Here is a 19,334-nt window from a genome sequence, read left to right as displayed (position 1 = left end):
AATAAATAAAAATAAACTCAGTTTATTGCCCGGTTCCAGGAAGGCATTATGTTTCCTTCTGTACTCAGAGGTAAGATTTGGTCTAGACCTAAGATTTCACAGGGATACTAATCAAGAAGATGAATTAAGACAGTCAATTTCACATAGACACCAAATCTTTCTCTGGGCCTTTTATCCAGAGAAAGACATTTGTCTCTGGCCTGTTCACTCTTTTTTTTTTTTTTTTTTTTGAGATGGAGTCTCACTCTGTCACCCAGGCTGGAGTGCAGTGGCACGATCTCGGCTCACTGCAAGCTCTGCCTCCCAGGTTCACGCCATTCTCCTGCCTCAGCCCCCCGAGTAGCTGGGACTACAGGTGCCCACCACCATGCCTGGCTAATTTTTTGTATTTTTAGTAGAGAGGGGGTGGTCTGTTCACTCTTTACATTTCCTGTGGCTGTGATTACTAGACATAGTTAATATAAAACATTTGCAATCAAATTCATTGTTGCAGTTCTTCATTGTACCTTTTAGTTATAAAAATAAATTTTATAACATTACATGAAATGTGTAAAATAAAGGGGGAAAAAAAGCAGCCATGATTCCCAGCCACCTGGATGTTTCCAGTCTGTTTTCATGTGCTTCTTAGCTTCCTGTTTTTAAGAACGTGGTTGGTGATCACTATGGCATAGAAACAGTTTTGGATCCTTCTGGTTCACTTCACATTATTGCACAAGTGACTTTCCTAGAGCGTCATGGCCTTTCTAGTCATCATGTGAATTGATATATAATATCCGCCAGATATTATAATATCCAGTATGTATTATATCCACTGGATATAAATTACCTAATTTGGGGGATATATATGATAAGATATATATAAAATAATTCTCTGATGTAGGATATTTCATTTGTTTTAAATTTCTCATTACTATTTTCATAATACTTCAATGAACATTTTCATTTTCTGCATTCCCTGAGATTAGATTACCAGAAATAGACTTATTGAGTCAATGAGTATTTAATGCATCTTAATGGTTATTTGTGGTTTTAAGGATGGTATGTCTTAATTTTCTCTATTTAAAATTCTGTGGAAGTAGGGCAGCTGTTCAGATATGAATAATAAGTTACTTCTGTGCACACACAACATCTCTCCAATTCTGAAACTAGATTCACACATAAGTGAACGGATTTGATCTAGAGCCATAATGGAACAAGGAGGTTATTTAGTGAAGTCCCCTTATTTACCGAGGCAGTGTGGTACAATGGAAAGAACACTTGATTTGTCCTTTGAGGACCTGGACTGGGATCCCTGCCCCAAAGTTTTCTCTCTCTGTGATCCTGGGTTAGTCTCCCTGAGCCTTGGTTTCTTCAGTTACTAAGTACCTATCATGGGGTAGCTAAGTTCTAGGTACTTCAATTACATCACCTCTTTAATCACCACAGCTCTGTGAGGTTAGCATGGTTGACACTGGTTTCACAGCAGGGGTTTAACAACTTTGCTAAGGTCATATAGGTTGTCTGTTTGCGGGTCACTCTTTGGAATCCATTGTAATATCTTTACCCAGTGTGAACTAAGTTTCTAATTAAAACAAGGCAGTGGAACATTATGGTTAGAAGCAGATATTTGGAACCTGACAGATCTTGATTTATTTTCCAGCCAGACCATTCACAACAGGTATGACCTTAAGCAGCTAGTTAAATTTTCGGAACCTCAGTTCCCACACCTATAAATTAGAATAAGTGGTAGTTACCCGATATGAATAGCATGTGGATTCAATCAGAAAACTCATATAAAGTACCTCCTTCACTGACTGAAACATAGTAAGAACTCAATAAATGGTAGTTGTTGCTGTTGTTGTTATTGACATTAATGTAGTTGTTCTTATTGTTTCTGTGCTGTTGCTACTGCTAGAACACATTACCAAGCACCTAAAATAATTAAATAGTATGTTAGTTAGAGCCTTGGTCCCTGATGCATACAATCTGAATTTGAATTCCTGCTCCATTATTTACAGTTGAGTGACATTAGGTGAGTTATTTATCATCTCCGAGTTTCACTCAAGTCATTTGTAAAATAGTTATTAGTGGGCAGGTTGTTAAATGGATCATTTAAGTGGAGAGCTCTATGGAGATGAAGGAATAAGCTGTGATGCCCAGACTTTTACATTTGTTAGTGCATTTTGTTGGATGAATATGCATGCATAGTAAACACAAAAGGTACAGGTTTTTGGGGAAGAGATAGCTCATGTTCTAAACATGTTGAGCATCATTATTTGGGAAAAATTATAAGACAATATATCTCAGGGTTACATTGAGGAAAAGTAAAAGTTCAAGCGTTATATGTGATGTTCAAAGGGAAATGATCAATATTTTTTTTAGGAATCAGGAAAGCTTTGAGGGTCTTGAAGAACATTCAGGATCTAGTGGGAAAGAACATGAAAAAAAGAGATTCCTTCGACTTCATGACATCACCTCCCTGAGGCTGTATGGTTCCAAGGCTAATCACATGACCCATACCCTGTGTGTGCTCCCTTGTGCTGAGCTGGTCCCACTCCTAGACCCTAGCACCAAGGTTTTAGCTTCATGTTGGTCCACGTTGGTCCAACCCCATCCTTAAACCCTTAGATAGGAAGAGAGAGTTCTGAGCTCGCCCCATATTGTTCAGCTTTCCATCCATCCTCCCAGGAATGAGATATCATTGTGGGGTAGAGAGTGCCGGTAGGAAAGGATGAAAAGTAGCATGGGGGAAATGGCTTATTTTAAAAGTAAACCTTTGATTTGAAGTTATGTCATTGTCTGAAAAATGTTTAGTATTTTCTAGAAAAATCACTTGAGTTCTGGAGTGATAAAAGGGAAGACATTACCCCCACCAAATTAAAAATAAGAGAAAGCAGTACACATAAAAGTAAAATATTGAGAGGCAGCATATTATACTATGCTCCATAGAAGCCATTCTCAAATATTTTGGTATTAGGACCTCTTTATTTATTTATTTATTCGGGACAGAGTATCGTTCTTGTTGCCCAGGCTGGAGTGCAATGGCATGATCTCAGTTCACCACAACCTCCGCCTCCCAGGTTCAAGCGATTCTCCTGCCTCAGCCTCCCAAGTAGCTGGGATTACAGGTATGCATCACCACATCCAGCTAATGTTTTGTATTTTTAGTAGAGACGGGGTTTCTTCATGTTGGTCAGGCTGATCTCGAACTCCTGACCTCAGGTGATCTGCCCGCCTCGGCCTCCCAAAGTGCTGGGATTATAGGCGTGAGCCACCGCACCTGGCCTAGGACCTCTTTAAACTCTTTAAAATTAATGAGGGTGCTGAAGAGTTATGTTTATGTGGCTACATATATCAGTATTGATTGTATTGAAAACTAAACTGAGAAACATTTTAAACATTTTTTATAAATTCATCAAAAAAAATAAATATCTGTTAGCATAAATAATATTTTTATTAAAGAAAACCTATATTTCTCAAGCCAAAAAAGAAAAAAAACAAAGCGAGTGAGAAGACTGGTTTACACTTTTGCAAATGTCTTTAATGTCAAGCTTAATGGAAGATAGCTATATTCTCATATTGGCTTCTACATTCAATCTGTTGCAAGAATATATGTGATATAGCCTCTGGAGAACTTATCATATGCTCATGAGAGAAGGAGAGTAGAAAAAAATAAGGAATGTCTTAGTATAATTATAAAAATGACTTTGACCTCATGGATCCCCTGAAAGGGACTAAAGGGTACCTCAGTGGCTCATACTTTGAGAACTGCTGTTCTACAGCATATCAAAGTTCTAGAATTAGACTTCCCTAGGTTCAAATCCCTGCGCTACTACTTGCAAGCTGTGTAGCCTTAAACAAGTTAATCTACCTCTCCAGACCTCCATTTTCTCATGTTTAAATGAGGATGACAAAATATTACCTTGAAGGATTCAGAGAGGATTAAGTGAAATAATACCTGTAAAAAATCACAGCCCAAAGCTAGGCATATAGTGAAAGAGATCAACTGGCTCTATTCTATTAACAAGTGGATGAGGAACTGGGGCCCAGTAGGGAAGTCACTTGTCTGAGGTCACACTCAACAGATGTTGGTTCCCTTTTTCCCAGGCACTGTGCCAGGGTTTCTACTTGAGTTTAGCTGTATCAGTCATGGGCTGCCAGGAGCACTGGATTTTTAAGTGTCATTTTCACTGTCCCTCATGGTGGTAGGACAGAACAAAGCCCTCATAGAGGCAGGAGGTCAAGAGAGAGGAGCTGCAAGTGTGGCCATCTTCATGTGACTGTGTGCTACCCTCCACGTCACTTTCTGACTCCTCTTGCAGTGTTCCAAGACCCTCTCTAACCCTATTTTCTACAGTTCCTCACATGCCCTCTCTCATTCCCCCAGGTCCACTGTAGCCTCATTCATTCTGTTCTCCTGGTTTCAAATTCTCTATATCCTTTCTATTGTCATGAAAATTAAATAAAAGGCATATGGGGCTTAGTACTGAAGCTGACTCGCGGTTACACTCAATTAAGTGTGAACTGCTATTAAACCCATCACTCCCCACTTCTCTTCCATTAGATATCTCTGACTGGTCTAATTACATTGAAGTCTCCTATTTGGCTAGTCCTACCAAAGTACTGACATCTCTCAATCAGCTATCTTACTGAATAAAGTATCAGTGTTTTCGAACTTAAAAAAGCAAAGTTGGTAGACATCTCTCAAGTGGCTGTAGAAGTGCAAAGACTCCTCCATTCTTTGAAAGAACAAGTCTCTACCTTTAAAAACATTCTTATTTGTTCAGAAGAACAACTTCTATTATAGACATGCTTTGCTCTTTTAAAGGTGCTATTAAAAATTATCCCATTTTACAAACTTGGTTTTAACCTCATTTTACATGCGAGAAACTAAGTGAGAGAAATTAAAATGGCTTGTACAAGAACACATAAGAAATCACTCATAATGCCGGACTGTGGACTGAGGTTTCCAGACTCCCTCTAGACTTGGCAAACTTAAGAACATCCCTGCAGCTGGGCACAGTGGCTCACGCCTGTAATCCCAGCACTTTGGGAGGCCGAGGCGGGCGGATCATGAGGTCAGGAGATCGAGACCATCCTGGCTAACACGATGAAACCCTGTCTCTACTAAAACTACAAAAAATTAGCCGGGTGTGGTGGTGGGCACCTGTAGTCCCAGCTACTCAGGAGGCTGAGGCAGGAGAATGGCATGAACATGGGAGGTGGAGCTTGCAGTAAGCAGAGATCGCGCCACTGCACTCCAGCCAGAGCAACAGTGCAGACTCTGTCTCAAAGAAGAAAAAGAAAAAGAAAAAAAAAGAACATCCCTGCTTAGGAATCAGACATTTGTCCTGATTATTTTTTACTGGAAGGAACCAAAATTTAATAGATTGTGGTCAAATGGTTCTGCTATTCCCTTCTAAAACGTGGTGCCTAGCAGTCCCCAGGGATATCGCCAGCAAGACCCTTGCTTTCATCTAAATATGGGAGTTCTCCATTATACAAAGACCTCAAGCCAGGATGAACATAATTCACTTTGGCTTTGGGAGTAGCCCATAGAGGAAATGCCTAACACCAGGAGTGGTGTTCTGGTCAGTAAGGCCAGCCATCCTTGTGACCAAACAGATATTTTGAAGAGAAACTTGTTTTCAATTCTTGTATTGCTTTCTAAGAGGAGAAATGTGTGAGTCAGAGTGAAATCCAAACAAAACTCTCATCTAATTTAGGACACTAATGAACACATTTTTGTTTTCTTTATCCTTGATTAGAAACATTTTAAAGTAAGAGGATGTATTTTAAAGACAAAGGGGTTTTCTGGCAATTTTGTAATGTTACACAATCTCCTTCCCTGTCTACTAAGAAAGAAAACAGAATTCTGCAGCACCTTCTTTAGGAAAAATAGATGATAATTAACTGTTAACCATTTTCATTTCATGTGAGAAGTGTGGGTACAGCTGCAGGGAACTTCCTGAGGGTATGCAGGTATTTTTCTCATAGACTATTTACTCAGTATCTTGAATGCTCCAGGAGAGACAGGGTCTAAAAATTGTAATACAGCAAGATTCATTGAGAACAAACAATCATACCCATTGATAAATTTTGGATTTAACATTTTGGTGCATCACTAAGCTGGTAAAAGGCCATTCCCTCATGCGTGAGTTTTCATTTGAGATATCAAAAATGTACAATTGGTTTGGGATGAGATAATCACGGCTTCCATTTCAGATCCCACTATTTACTGCATATGGGACTCTGGTAAGACAAACTCAATAAAGCTTTTGTCTCAGGCTTTGATTTCTAGAAAACTGACCAAGACACCCCTTTTGAGCAAGAATGATAAATCTGAGCCACAGATGTGACAGCTTTTTATCAATAAGAATGATTGCATTAATAACTATTTCTGATGGGTGTATTTCAACTGCTTAGTGTCCTCTCTATCTAGAAGTGTGACAGGCATCTCACACCTGACATGTCCACCTCCATCACCACACACACCACATTAGCAAACCTGCTCCACCCACACTCTTTCTCATCTTGGTCAATAGGAGTTCCCTTCACCCACTTGCTCAGGCCAAAAATATTGGCGTTATTCTGAGTCCTCTTTTCTCATACTTCATATTGCATTTATCAATTTCCTACCTTCAAAATACATCCTAAATGCAACCATTTTTCTCTACTTTTGCTCCAACTACTGTAGTCCAATCTAACCTAGGTTATGAATCGTGTCTTCACTAGTCTCCCTGCATTTGTTTCTGTTCCCCACAATCTATTCTCTGCATCAGGATCCAGAGATATCCTTTAAAAATAATAGTCAGACAATATCATTTCTCTGCTCAAAGTCCTCCAAAACATCTTATCCTGGAATAAATTGAAAGCACTTACTAACGTCCACATGGTCATGCACGGTGTGGCCTCACTCTGACCTCACATCTCACCCATACTACCTCTCACTTACTCTGTCAGGACTACGCTGGCCTCCCTGTTCTTTCTGAAATGCCAAGAAGGGTCCTGCCTGGGATTTTTGCCCTTGCTGTTCCCTCTGACCAGAGAAACCATGTGTCGCATGGCTAAGTCTTCACGCAGGTCCCAGCTCCCCCTAGGGCTTCCATGACCACCCTATCAGAAATGCATTATTCTGTGTAACACACAAAGAAAATGTAAGCCTATTGAAAGGGGGAACTTTTGTTCAATGCTGTATCATGAGCGCAAAGAAGAGCGCCTGGCACATAGCAGGAACTTAATAACTGTTTGTTGACTGGATAGATAAAGATCAGAGACCAAGGAAGACTGCAGCCTCCTGCAAGTTGGCAACAAATAGCACCTGGGGACCATGAAAGAACAGGTTATCATAATGTTTATGTCTTTGCTTCCCAACACTCTCCAGTCCATACAGGAGACCTGCTGCATCTAGGGTTGTGAAAAGATGAAGAGGTCAGTGAACACAATGAAAATGTTCTAAAACTGGACCATGTGGATGGTTGCACAACTATATATATATTTACTAAAAGTCATTGAATCGTAAACTCAACATGGATGATTTTTATGATAGATAAATTATACCTCAATAAAACTGTTGAGAGAGAGAGAGAGAAACAGAGATGAAAAGATACAGAGAGACAGAGACACACAGAGGAAAAAAGTGACCAGGAGTAAAACAAGGGCTCAGGATGTAAATATTCCTAGGCCTGAAAATGGATATCCATTTTTTCCCAGAATCAATCTCATGGCTGATATAAATTACTGAAAAATAACACTAGTGTTCTATTTTCCCTCATCTCTGGGCGACAGGCCTAAATGTGACTGTGAACGCTACTTTCATGTATTCGGATGGTCTGATTCATAACTCAGGCGACTGCCGGAGTAGCACCTGTGAAGGCCTCGACCTACTCAGGAAAATTTCAGTAAGTATTTGCTTTTGTGGATGCAGCTCATGGCCTCTGGGCACAGGATAATCCCAGTGTGAAATGTAGGCACATGACCATGAAGCAGCTCTCCCATCATCTCTAGCCACATAGCTGAATGAGTGGCCGAGTACCAGGCAGGAGACTCTGGCTTTACCCCTACAGATTACCTAAATGACAGGGGCCCTCCATGAATCCAGAAAAGTGAGGAAAGCCTTGGCTATGTACTGTGTGTACACTTTCATTTGTAAGGAGAGGAATTCTTTTGCTTTAAATTGTTTTAAAAATTTTGTTTTGTTTTGTTTCTTGGGTGTTTGTTTGTTTGTTTTTTGAGACAGGGTCTCCCTCTGTTGCCCAGGCTGGAGTGCAGTGGCATAATCATGGCTCACTGCAGGTTGAGCTCCTGGGCTCAGGTGATTGTCCCATCTCAGCCTCCCAAGTAGCTGGGACTACAGGCATGTGCTACCATGCTCAGCAAATTTCTTATATTATTTGTAGAGACAGGGTTTCACCACGTTGCTCAGGCTGGTCTCAAACTCCTGAGCTTAAGTGATCTGCCCCCATTGGCCTCCCAAAGTGCTGGAATTACAGGCATGAGCCACTGCGCCCAGCCAGTTTTTAAGTTTCTTTATTTAAATGTTAGTATAAACTGGTTTGCCTTTGTATCCCTCAAGAAATACCTGAGAAATCATGTTTAAAAACATATTTCAAGGCCCCACACCAGAAATCTCTGTTTCAAGTCATCACCATATATCAGGTCATAGTTAATTGCTTAAGCGTTGAATCTGCCACCTAACTTAAAGTAGTAACTTCAATGTCAAAGGATGAAAATGGGAAGAGGGAGATTCTTGCCTAGTTCCTCCTCCTAATCCCCAAACCCCAATCCCAACCAGAGCTTTAAGGAAATAAAGAGGGTTAAAAGCTCTCTAGAGACAAGCAGATGTGCAATGCACCCCCTTAATACAGAAACTAAAGAAAAGGCTGTCTTAGCAGCAGAGCACTGGGAGTAGAGCCACGGCTCTAAACTTTAATCAATAACATCACACCAACCAGGCAGGCCACACTCCCATCAGGAACAATGGCTACCACAGCAGTGATTCTCAATCTTGGGAAGGTAAGGTGTGCACAAGCATAGTTCAATAAACTCCACATCACAATTTCAGAAATATATGCTGCTTTTCTCTGCCTCTACAGAGAGAGGTATAACCTGGTTCTCCAAAACCAGGGATGAGATGGTCCCAACCAGATTCCCCTTAAGAAATAGGAGAAAATAAGATCAATAATCACCCAATCAATTGCATAGCATTTTACTCACTTCAGCCCTGTTTTATAGTTCTCTCTACAACTGAAACTTGCCCTCTCCCTTCAAAGCACCTCCAAATCTCATCTCACCACTATCTGGCCTACAGACACTACTAATGCTACAGCCTCCCAGTCCCTCTTCTGCCTCTTCCCATCCTGCATTGAGAAGGAAGCCAGGTTCACCTCCAGTCAGCTCACCTTTGTAAAATACCTTTCCTCCCTGTAGTGTGTTTTCCCTCTCGAACCTCTCCATGCCTCAGTTGATCCTTGTCCAGACCAAGGCACCCTATGTTGCTCTGAGTTTGAGCATTTTGGGAGGCCCAACTTTCTAAACCTCTGGGAGCCTTCCCCTTGCTACTTCTTTCCTGTCCACTGAGTATTTTTCTTAGTTCTAGGAATTCATTGTTGTTTTCTCTCCTACAGAATGCACAACGGATGGGCTGTGTCCTCATAGGGCCCTCATGTACATACTCCACCTTCCAGATGTAGTAAGTAATACTACTGTGAACTGAAGTCAGGACATGATATTGCAACTTAAAGGACTCATCAAACAACAGTCTAGTCAAGCCAACACAATCAGAGGTGTTGAGGTCTAGTATTTTGCCATCTCCCCATAACTGTCATTCTCTTATCCAGGTAACTTCCCTTGCTCAGCATGGAGTGAATGTCTGTAGCCATTCAGGTTGAGTCATTAACATCTGACCTTGAGAGAAAACATGGTATGGGTAAAAAGTCAGAGTTTTGAGAGAAAGCAGGAAAGACAGTGAAATTGGATAATTTGAGGCGTTTAATAAATAAAATATTCACAAAAGTATGGGTAGAGGGTTGGGAAACACAAAAGAAAGTGCAACACCCCAGGGTACTAGTAGGGTTCTGTTCTATCCTGTAGGTCTGGTAAAAGTGGGGAAAATAACAATATATTTAGTTCATGTTATTTGAGAATTATATAAATGACATGTTAAAGTCCTTTGTACAGTGCCCTTACTATCTTAGAACAAAGCTCTCAGTATATTCTAGAATGAATATATTTTTCTGGCTCTGGGAAAATCACCCTCATCTCTTCCATTCATTTTACACAATGTAATTATCACCAAAAAATACTTTGTTCTGCTAATTACACCTTCCCTAATCAAAATCCTGCTCAAGTTCCTTTTTTGTACCTGTTCAATCTGACCCTGAATCAAGAATCACGCTTCATCGACACAGAGAAAACTGTGCAGAATATCACTTGCAATGGATTTTGGAGAGTAAACATTAGACCTCTGAAAATTCTGTTGCAAAGTTTGCTTTTGTCACCTCACACCCACCATTACAAACAGCCTCAGATGCTCAGGTTCACTGAGCACTTTTTCAGCTTCTCTTCCATACCAAAATGCGGACAGATCCAGAATCTTACTCTTCCTTGTATTTGTTCCCAACTGTCATCTAACCTGATCACTTACTAATATTGCTACAGAGTATGCTCAAAAGGAAAGGAGGATTGGAAAAATTGATTCACCATTTATGAAGACCTTCTACGTGCAAAGCATTTTAGCTGTGGCAGAGTAGAGAGAATTAAGTAAAACACAGCCCCTGTCCACCCAAATAGAGAAGGTGACAAGGACTCTCCTGACCAATACAAGGCACAGTGAGATCAATGCCATCAGGGAAATGGAAACAGGAAACTGCAGAGGGCAGGGATCAGTGGCACCAGCCTGTAATGCCAGGGCTTTGGGAGGCCGAAGCAGGAGGATCCCTTGAGCCCAGGAGTTTGAGACTAGCCTAGGCAACATAGTGAGACTCTGCTCTCCAGAAAGTTTAAAAATAAAAAAATTAGCCAGGTGTAGTCATGCACGCCTGTAGTCCCAGCAATGTGGGAGGCCAAGATGGGAGGATCACTTGAACCGAGGAGGTCAAGGCTCCAGTGATCCAGGATCACACCACTGCACTCCAGCCTGAGTGTCAGAGTGAGATACTATTAAAAAGAGAGAAAGAGAGAAAGAAAAGGAAGGAAAGGAAAGGAAAGGAAAGGAAAGGAAAGGAAGGAAGGAAGGAAGGAAGGAAGGAAGGAAGGAAGGAAGGAAGGAAGGAAGGAAGGAAGGAAGGGAAAGAAAGAAAGAGAGAGAGGAGAAAAAGAGGAAGGGAGAGAGAAGAGAAAAGAAAAGAGAAGCTATAGAGTGCACAGAAGGGAAGGGTCACCTCTGCTTGAGGGGACTAAGCTTCAATGGAGGAAAAAACTCTTATGAAGGAGATGCGATTGTTTGCATGTTGAAGAATGGGTAAAATTTTAATGAGTAGAGAGATGAGGAGATGAGCTTTCTAGCCAGGCAGAGGGAGAGAAGTACATGTAAAAGCAAACAAGCAGGGAAATGAAGAACTCTGTATTAACCAGAGTTCAGGAAATGTATAGGGGAATAATAGAGATAAGACTAGGAAAATTAAGTAGGACCATATTTGGAAGTTCATGGGAGGAAAGTCCAGGTGAAGGAAGTTGCATTTAATGAGACTCACATCAGAAATCACTAAGGTTTTAAGCTTGGGAATGCCATGAGAAGCAGCCAACTTTCAGAAGAATGATTGACCACAGTGTATAGGAAAGACACAGGCAGACTGATGACAGGAAAGTCAGCAGAGAAGGAGGGCCTGGATTAGGAAGAAGGAAGTGGACATAGAAAGGGAGGATAACTGCAAAGATATTTGAAGGTAGAATCAATCAATGGTATGATGCTGGGGTGAGAGATGGAAAGTAGTCAAAGAAGCCTTTGCAATCTCAAAACACTAAAATAAATGAAAAAATCTCAAAACACTAAAATAAATGAAAAACAGTTTGGAGGAACAGAAATGAAAGAGAATTCTGACTGTGAACATTGTAGTTTGAGATGCAAGCAGGAAGCCCACTAAAACCTTTTGATGGAGCACTGAAGATGTAAGGGGATGCTGTTTTCCTTCCTTCGTTAAATACATACTAAGCATCTACATACAAGCCTAGATGACTGGAGATACCGAGGTGAACAAGCTGGGGAGAAGGCAATGCATGGCAAAGTGTAGATGGCATCTTTTTGGCTTTACAACAACTATGGTGGCTGTGGTGGTCCATCCTTTTTCTTAGCCCGACTTCCCCTGTATCCCAGCCCAGATATCATGATGACTCACTTTAGAATAAATCGAAGTAACCAAGCCACATATTCACAAAATTGCTTAGAGTGTGCTTAGAACATAGCATGTGCTCAATAAATGTTTTTAAATTTAGCTGTATGAGAAAGACACCTATATACATGAGAAACCTGCTTTAATGATCCGATTTCATTCTTACCATTTATACATACATGCTGAAACAGGTTAAAGAGGGATCTTATTTGTGCTACTTAAGTTAATACTGATAATGGCTTTTTTCCTCAACCTCTTGACATAGCCTTGACACAGAATTGAGCTACCCCATGATCTCAGCTGGAAGTTTTGGATTGTCATGTGACTATAAAGAAACCTTAACCAGGCTGATGTCTCCAGCTAGAAAGTTGATGTACTTCTTGGTTAACTTTTGGAAAACCAACGATCTGCCCTTCAAAACTTATTCCTGGAGCACTTCGTATGTTTACAAGAATGGTACAGAAACTGAGGACTGTTTCTGGTAAGCAGGATCATTAATATTTCACTAGCACTTGCCATGGAGAGAAGCCATAGGATCATGCAGGCCACCTAGTTATTACCAGATGCACCTTCCACTGGTAACAGCATTGGGTATAGACATCAGTTCATTTTCTCACACATAAATAAAAGCAAAGGGGACCAAGTAAATATAGAGTTGTAAAAATAATCAGTATAGTTTGCATCTGCAACACTCTTTACTGTTTTGAAAGTACGTTCACATCAGTTTTATTGATTTCCTGCAGTACGTTATCTGAAGAAAATAAAACAAGTAATAGGATCCCTATTTTATAGACAAGGAAAATGAAAGCCAGGAGTTAATGTTTTCACATTCCTGTGTAAGAAACAATACCAGAGAACATGTATCTTGCCTATACCTACAATTAGTTAGAAAAAATGATCTCACACTTCTTCAGAGAAACAAGAGGTAGGGGAGAAACAGGAATAATGGGTATTGTATTAATAATAGTTTGTTTTCATACTGCTATAAAGAACTGCTCGAGACTGGGTAACTTATAAAGGAAAGAGGTTTAATTGACTCACAGTTTCGCATAGCTGGGGAGGCCCCAGGAAACTTACAATCATGGCAGAAGGCGAAGGACAAGCAAGGCACTTTCTTCAAAAGGTGGCAGGAAGGAAAAGTGCTAAGCAAAAAGGGAAGAGCCCCTTATAAAACCATCAGATCTCATGAGAACTTACTCACTATCATGAGAACAGCATGGGGGAAACCACCCCCATGGTTCAATTACCTCCACCTGGTCTCTCCCTTGACACGTGGGGATTATTGGGATTATGGGGATAACAATTCAAGATGATATTTGGGTGGGGACACAAAGCCTAACCATATCAGGTATCATTACTAAAATAAAATGGAAAGATTCATTCAACTCCAACAAAGGTGGTAGAAGAAATCTTCTGGCTGGGTTGCTGCCTGTACTTCCAGGATGCTGCTTAATTCTGCATTCTTTCTCCATCTAAGTAAGCAAAAGACTAAGATGGGATACCACCAGGGATGCACGTCTAGAGACCCACAGGAATCAACCCACAGTATCTAATGTGAGGTTTAAACAGAAGCAGAAAATTATTCCTATCAACTCTGCATTTTTGTACTGTAGATTCAAGGGTTTCAACTTATCTATAATGGGACTAGTTTATAGAGCAGAGCAGAACCCTCTTCCTGCAAGCAGCCAGAAACCATCACAAATGACTCACCAAATGTCAGATATCATGACAACTCACTTTAAATCAAAGTAACCAAGCCACATATTCACAAAATTGCTTAGAGTGTGTTTAGAACATACACTGTGATTATGGGGATAACAATTTACATGTACACATGAAGATCCCTAAAAGTTCCCCCATCCTTTCACGAATTTAGATCTTACAATCTAAACTAGTGGTATCATGGTGTGTGCTGTCTATTGTGTTAATAGCAGAAATGAATTTTAGATGAACAAATCCCAGGATAGATCTGCAAATAAGAAGTGAAAGGCATGAAAGGCCATGAGGGAAGTAAGCTGTTTTAGTTTCTCTTTTTCCTATTCCAGGTACCTTAATGCTCTGGAGGCTAGCGTTTCCTATTTCTCCCACGAACTCGGCTTTAAGGTGGTGTTAAGACAAGATAAGGAGTTTCAGGATATCTTAATGGACCACAACAGGAAAAGCAATGGTAAGAAGACATGAAGATAATTGTTTTTTGCTAACTTCTTCTTTATGACTACCACCTCCTTATAAGTCATTTCAACAAATCCTCCACTGCAGAGCTATCATCCTTACTCATACATATTTTGTATATTTTGGGAGATCTATAATTGCATGCAACTTCATTATATTGTTCCTTTCATTGACTAAAAACCTTATCCTCTGAGAGAAAATACCTAAGTATTATTGAGTAATTATATTAACATAATAACGATAATGCTAAAATCCGGCTTTTATAAACCCAAATGATATTATGACCCACCCTCAGCAGACTGTTTTTTTAAATTCACCTCAATCCAACATATTATTGGATTTGTGACCAATCTTCACACATTCTGAGCCCCAGTCCTCCTGGTGACCAAGAGGATGAATTTATTGATTACATAGCTTCATGCAAAATTACAACGTAAGCAAAGATTATCTCACTTTCCTATTCCTTCTGTATCTCACCTGCCCAGTGATCTACCAGCTAGAGACCAAGTAGGAAAGCCTAATTGGATATAAAATTATCCTCAGATAAATGACCACACATTGGGTACAGCGTACACTGCCTAGGAGATGGGTGCACCAAAATTTTAGAAATCACCACTAAAGAACTTATTCATGTAACCAAACACCACCTGTTCCCGCAAAAATCTATTCAAATAAAAAGAAGTCATCCTCACTAAGATATTAGGGGATTTGTTGCACTTTCCACAGAATTCTCTTGACAAACAAGAATGTATCAGGGGCAAAGGAATCCATTGTGAGAATTTTCTACAAGGAAAGATACTTGCTTGGTGGATTTCCTGATATTCAAATCATCATTTATTGCCATTATCAAGCATTTGTTATATTAATGGCCTACCAGTTGCAAAAACATTAACCAAGATATGGTGGGAAAGAAATATATAAGTATTTATGTCCCTAAAGAGTTTACAATTCAACAGGGCAGCATAATGGCACAGCATCTAAAAAGATCTAATGAAGTCTCCCCCAACTCCTCTCACTCATAAAACTGCATTCAGGATAGCTAGCAGAAATTAGTGGTAGACTTCAGACTGGACTCTGGCATTGGAGTTACTAAGATGAAGTTTTGAGTTAAGAGGCTACAGATAAAGCCCAAGTTGCTTAGGGAGACTTTATAAATTCTTCTCAGTTCTCACTTTTATAATATCTTTTTCAACCACTTTTACAAATGGTGAGGTATACTTCACTTATCTATGACAATATATTCTGTAATTACTCCAGCCTGGCATAATGGAATAAGCACTGAACTTGACTGTCAGAGCTGTCTTTGTCATCTACTAGTTCTTTGACCCTTTGACATCTTGGCTTCAGCCTCCTTAAATCTATAAAATTAAAAGAATGATGGACGAGATGATTTTTTTAAAAAAGATCCCATTCAGCTCTATTCTGACTCTATAATTGTAAATGAAAAAAAAAAAGGAAGGAGGAATTTAAGGAATTGGAGTTTATCTTTAAAAAATTTAACATTAACATACTGGATTCAAATTCAGGCAACTGGTTCCCTGCCTGTTTGTCTGTAGACTGTCATATATTTCTCTCCTTGTCTTACCTTCTCCTCCAGTGATTATTATGTGTGGTGGTCCAGAGTTCCTCTACAAGCTGAAGGGTGACCGAGCAGTGGCTGAAGACATTGTCATTATTCTAGTGGATCTTTTCAAGTAGGTATAACATTTGGAAAAACCCTCCTCCTTTCAAAAAGGAAGTATTCCAAGGATTTCCAGAAGGCACATTCTCTTTTCTCTTGCTTTGTACAACCCCTTATGGGGTTAAGTATGATGATAATATTTGAACTCTGTCACACTGTCATTCTTATTTAGCTAATTGTGGCTTTAGCAGAGATGCATTCCTTTGACACCTTCACCATTTGTAAATATAAAAGGTTTATTATAGCCCCATTGAACCCACATGTCCATTTATGACTGAGGCCTGCTCAGTCAACATAGAATCCTGGCTGGCTATGGTCACTCACACCTGTAATCCCAGCACTTTGGGAGACCCAGGCAAGAGGATTGCTTGAGTCCAGGAGTTTCAGACTAGCCTGGGCAACACAGTGAGACCCCATCTCTATTAAAAGAAAAAAAGAAAGAAAGGAAAAACATACGATCCTGATCTCTAGCCTGATTTTAAAGTCTTTGTCCAGAAAATGATAAATCAACTAAAGACTCAATAATACTGTTCCTGGTAATGTCAGCCCCATTTTTCTCCTTCAGTTGCTAATGGCCTTTGGTCCTAGATTACTTTTCCTTCAACCACCTCTGATAAGCTTGAAGTTTCACTTGTATGAGTCTGATATACACAATTATTCCTCACCCTCTGTGGCGTAGTCACTAGGTGGTGATCTTTTCCTCCACATTTCTCTGAGCCAAAGAGAAAAAATGCTGGAGCGTAGAGAGCACCTTTGTTCACATCCCATCTTTTTTTTAATCGCTAATTATCTGAAATGGTTGGAGACCCCACTGACAAGCTGTGCCAAAGTAATATTTGAGTCAAGTTAGGCTTGAAGAAGGTGTCACTGCCATGCCCATGCCCCTTGCCCCCAGAAGCCAGATCACGTGACTTCACTTATCTGACTGGGCCATTAATCATTACCTGTCTGTATTCAGACAAGAGGCTGCTCCTGTCTAGATCTTTCCCATATTTGCCTGATCATTTCACCCACACTAACGATACTTCTCACAGCATGAATGGAAATGAAGTATAGGAACTGCAGGCCTGTTTGATGGCTACACGTTCATGAAGGTAATTTAATTAACCAACTAGACTCTAAACTACAGAAGTACAGGAAAGAGGGCAGAGTTACTGATATTTCACTCCAAGAACCTCATTGATTTCAATAGCTGCTTTACCCCTGGAAGGAGTCCTTACTGTAGCCAGGTTGGTATAATTTTACTTTCAGAAATCCTCAATAAACCACCAAAGTGCTGGCATTCCTTTGTCACTATTCCCAAAGGACACCTGGCTATGTTTTGGAAAGCTAATGAGACTAAATTAGACATAATGTGTTCACATTCTAATTCTGACACTTCTGGTTGTTTTGACTCTTGGATTTTTTTAGCATTTTAAGATTAAATCTTCCCATTTGTAAAATGAGAATTAAAATGTCCTCTTCATAAGGGTACTTCTAGGATTAATGTGATAATAGGAGTAAAATATCCAATACAGTTCTCAGCACATAGTAGATGTGTTCAAATATTAAATATGCTGGGCACAGCAGTGCATGCCTGTTGTCCCAGCTGCTTGGGAAGCTGAGGCGGGAGGATAGCTTGAATCTAGGAGTTCAAGACCAGCCTAGGTAATGTAGCAAGACCTTGTCTCCTAAAAAAAGTTTTTAAATAAAAACATTAAATAATGGTCAGCCTAATTGCAGCAGTTCAAACATACCAGATTCTTTTCAAATCTCCAAATAATAGGAAGCTTAGAAACCACAGCATTTGAGGCTGGGTGTGGTGGCTCACACCTGTAATCCCAGCACTTTGGGAGGCCAAGACAGGCGGATCACCTGAGGTCAGGAGTTCAAGACCTGCCTGGCCAACATGCTGAAAACCCGTCTCTACTAAAAATACAAAAAAAAAAAAAAATAGCTGGGCGTGGTGGTGGGCGCCTGTAATCCCAGCTACTCAGGAGGCTGAGGCAGGAGAATTGCTTGAACCTGGGAGGCGGAGGTTGCAGTGAGCCGAGATCATGCCATTGTACTCCAGCCTGGGAAATGAGAGTGAAACTCTGTCTAAAAATAAAATAAAACAAAATAAAAATAAAAGTAAAAATAAAAATAAACCATAGCATTTGCAGAGCAATCTTAGACAGTACTGAGAGTCTACAATGTGCCAGGCATTGTCTAGGAGTTGAGGATACAAGAATCAATAAGCTAATGTTCCATATATCAAGAAGCTTACCATGTTAGAGAAGACGTTTAGTCTTTTTATGCTTATGTTTCACCATCTAAAACATAAGTTTAGTGATAAAATTTCTCTCTACCATGTCTCAATATCTCTAAATTGTTAAAAGCACTTAAAGAAAGTTTCTACCTATAAACCAAGCCTTAAAAGCAAGCATGAGCTCACATGTCCATAGCCCCCCCAAATCTCAAAGAAATCAAGAAATATCTGTATTCTGATTTTCTTTTCCTTTTGTGTATGTTAACCACAATTGCTTAAATTCTCTTATTTAACCTAACAAGCACAGAAGAAAACAATTCTATCTGGGGAAAGTAGAAAGTTTTGCAGATTAATGAAAAAAAATGTTTTAAACTATTTTCAATGATGATGGTATAGTTTGTGTGAACTATAGAAGATGCATCTCTATTTTTCCTAATTTTCATGAGGAACCTGTGCTTTTTATTACAGTGACCAGTACTTTGAGGACAATGTCACAGCCCCTGACTATATGAAAAATGTCCTTGTTCTGACGCTGTCTCCTGGGAATTCCCTTCTAAATAGCTCTTTCTCCAGGAATCTATCACCAGTAAGCTATTATTTTATGTTATAGTATAAATTATATATTATTATTTTATTTGTCAAGGGTAAGATAATTTTTCTCCATTTAGGACCCAAATTCTAAAATGAGCAATTATTTTTACTTGCTCTAATTCATTCAACAAATGTTAACTGAAACCAACTACATGTACAGCATTTTGAAACAGCAGGATCCCTATCAAAGCTCTTAACTATAGGTCACTCTGCTAGACTATAGAACAGTACAACAGTGGACACATCCACCACATTGGCATGAAAGTAACAATATGGAAAGACAGGAAGAAGCCCTGCTATTGAGGGTCAATCTTACACTTAAAATAGGTAGAAATTAAATAATGTAAAATAA

General features: G+C 39.8%; 1 protein-coding gene and 1 long non-coding RNA gene across 3 annotated transcripts in view; one reads left to right on the top strand and one right to left on the bottom strand.

Annotated features, from left to right (window-relative positions):
- GUCY2C (guanylate cyclase 2C) overlaps nt 1–19,334 on the top strand; it is an 83,968-nt gene that overhangs the window by 769 nt on the left and 63,865 nt on the right. For both annotated transcript variants that reach the window (XM_011520631.3, NM_004963.4), the window contains exons 2-7: nt 7,768–7,880; nt 9,606–9,670; nt 12,574–12,789; nt 14,354–14,475; nt 16,078–16,174; nt 18,860–18,977. In XM_011520631.3, coding sequence (XP_011518933.1) covers nt 7,797–7,880; nt 9,606–9,670; nt 12,574–12,789; nt 14,354–14,475; nt 16,078–16,174; nt 18,860–18,977 — 702 coding nt within the window. In that variant the 5' untranslated portion in view covers nt 7,768–7,796. The remainder of the gene's footprint in view (nt 1–7,767; nt 7,881–9,605; nt 9,671–12,573; nt 12,790–14,353; nt 14,476–16,077; nt 16,175–18,859; nt 18,978–19,334) is intronic.
- GUCY2C-AS1 (GUCY2C antisense RNA 1) overlaps nt 1–19,334 on the bottom strand; it is a 70,584-nt gene that overhangs the window by 40,389 nt on the left and 10,861 nt on the right. The gene's annotated exons all lie outside the window — the stretch shown is intronic.

Source organism: Homo sapiens, chromosome 12 (genome assembly GCF_000001405.40).
Source record: "Homo sapiens chromosome 12, GRCh38.p14 Primary Assembly".
In the NCBI taxonomy this organism is placed as follows: Eukaryota; Metazoa; Chordata; class Mammalia; order Primates; family Hominidae; genus Homo; species Homo sapiens.
This window is presented reverse-complemented; position numbering and strand designations above follow the sequence as displayed.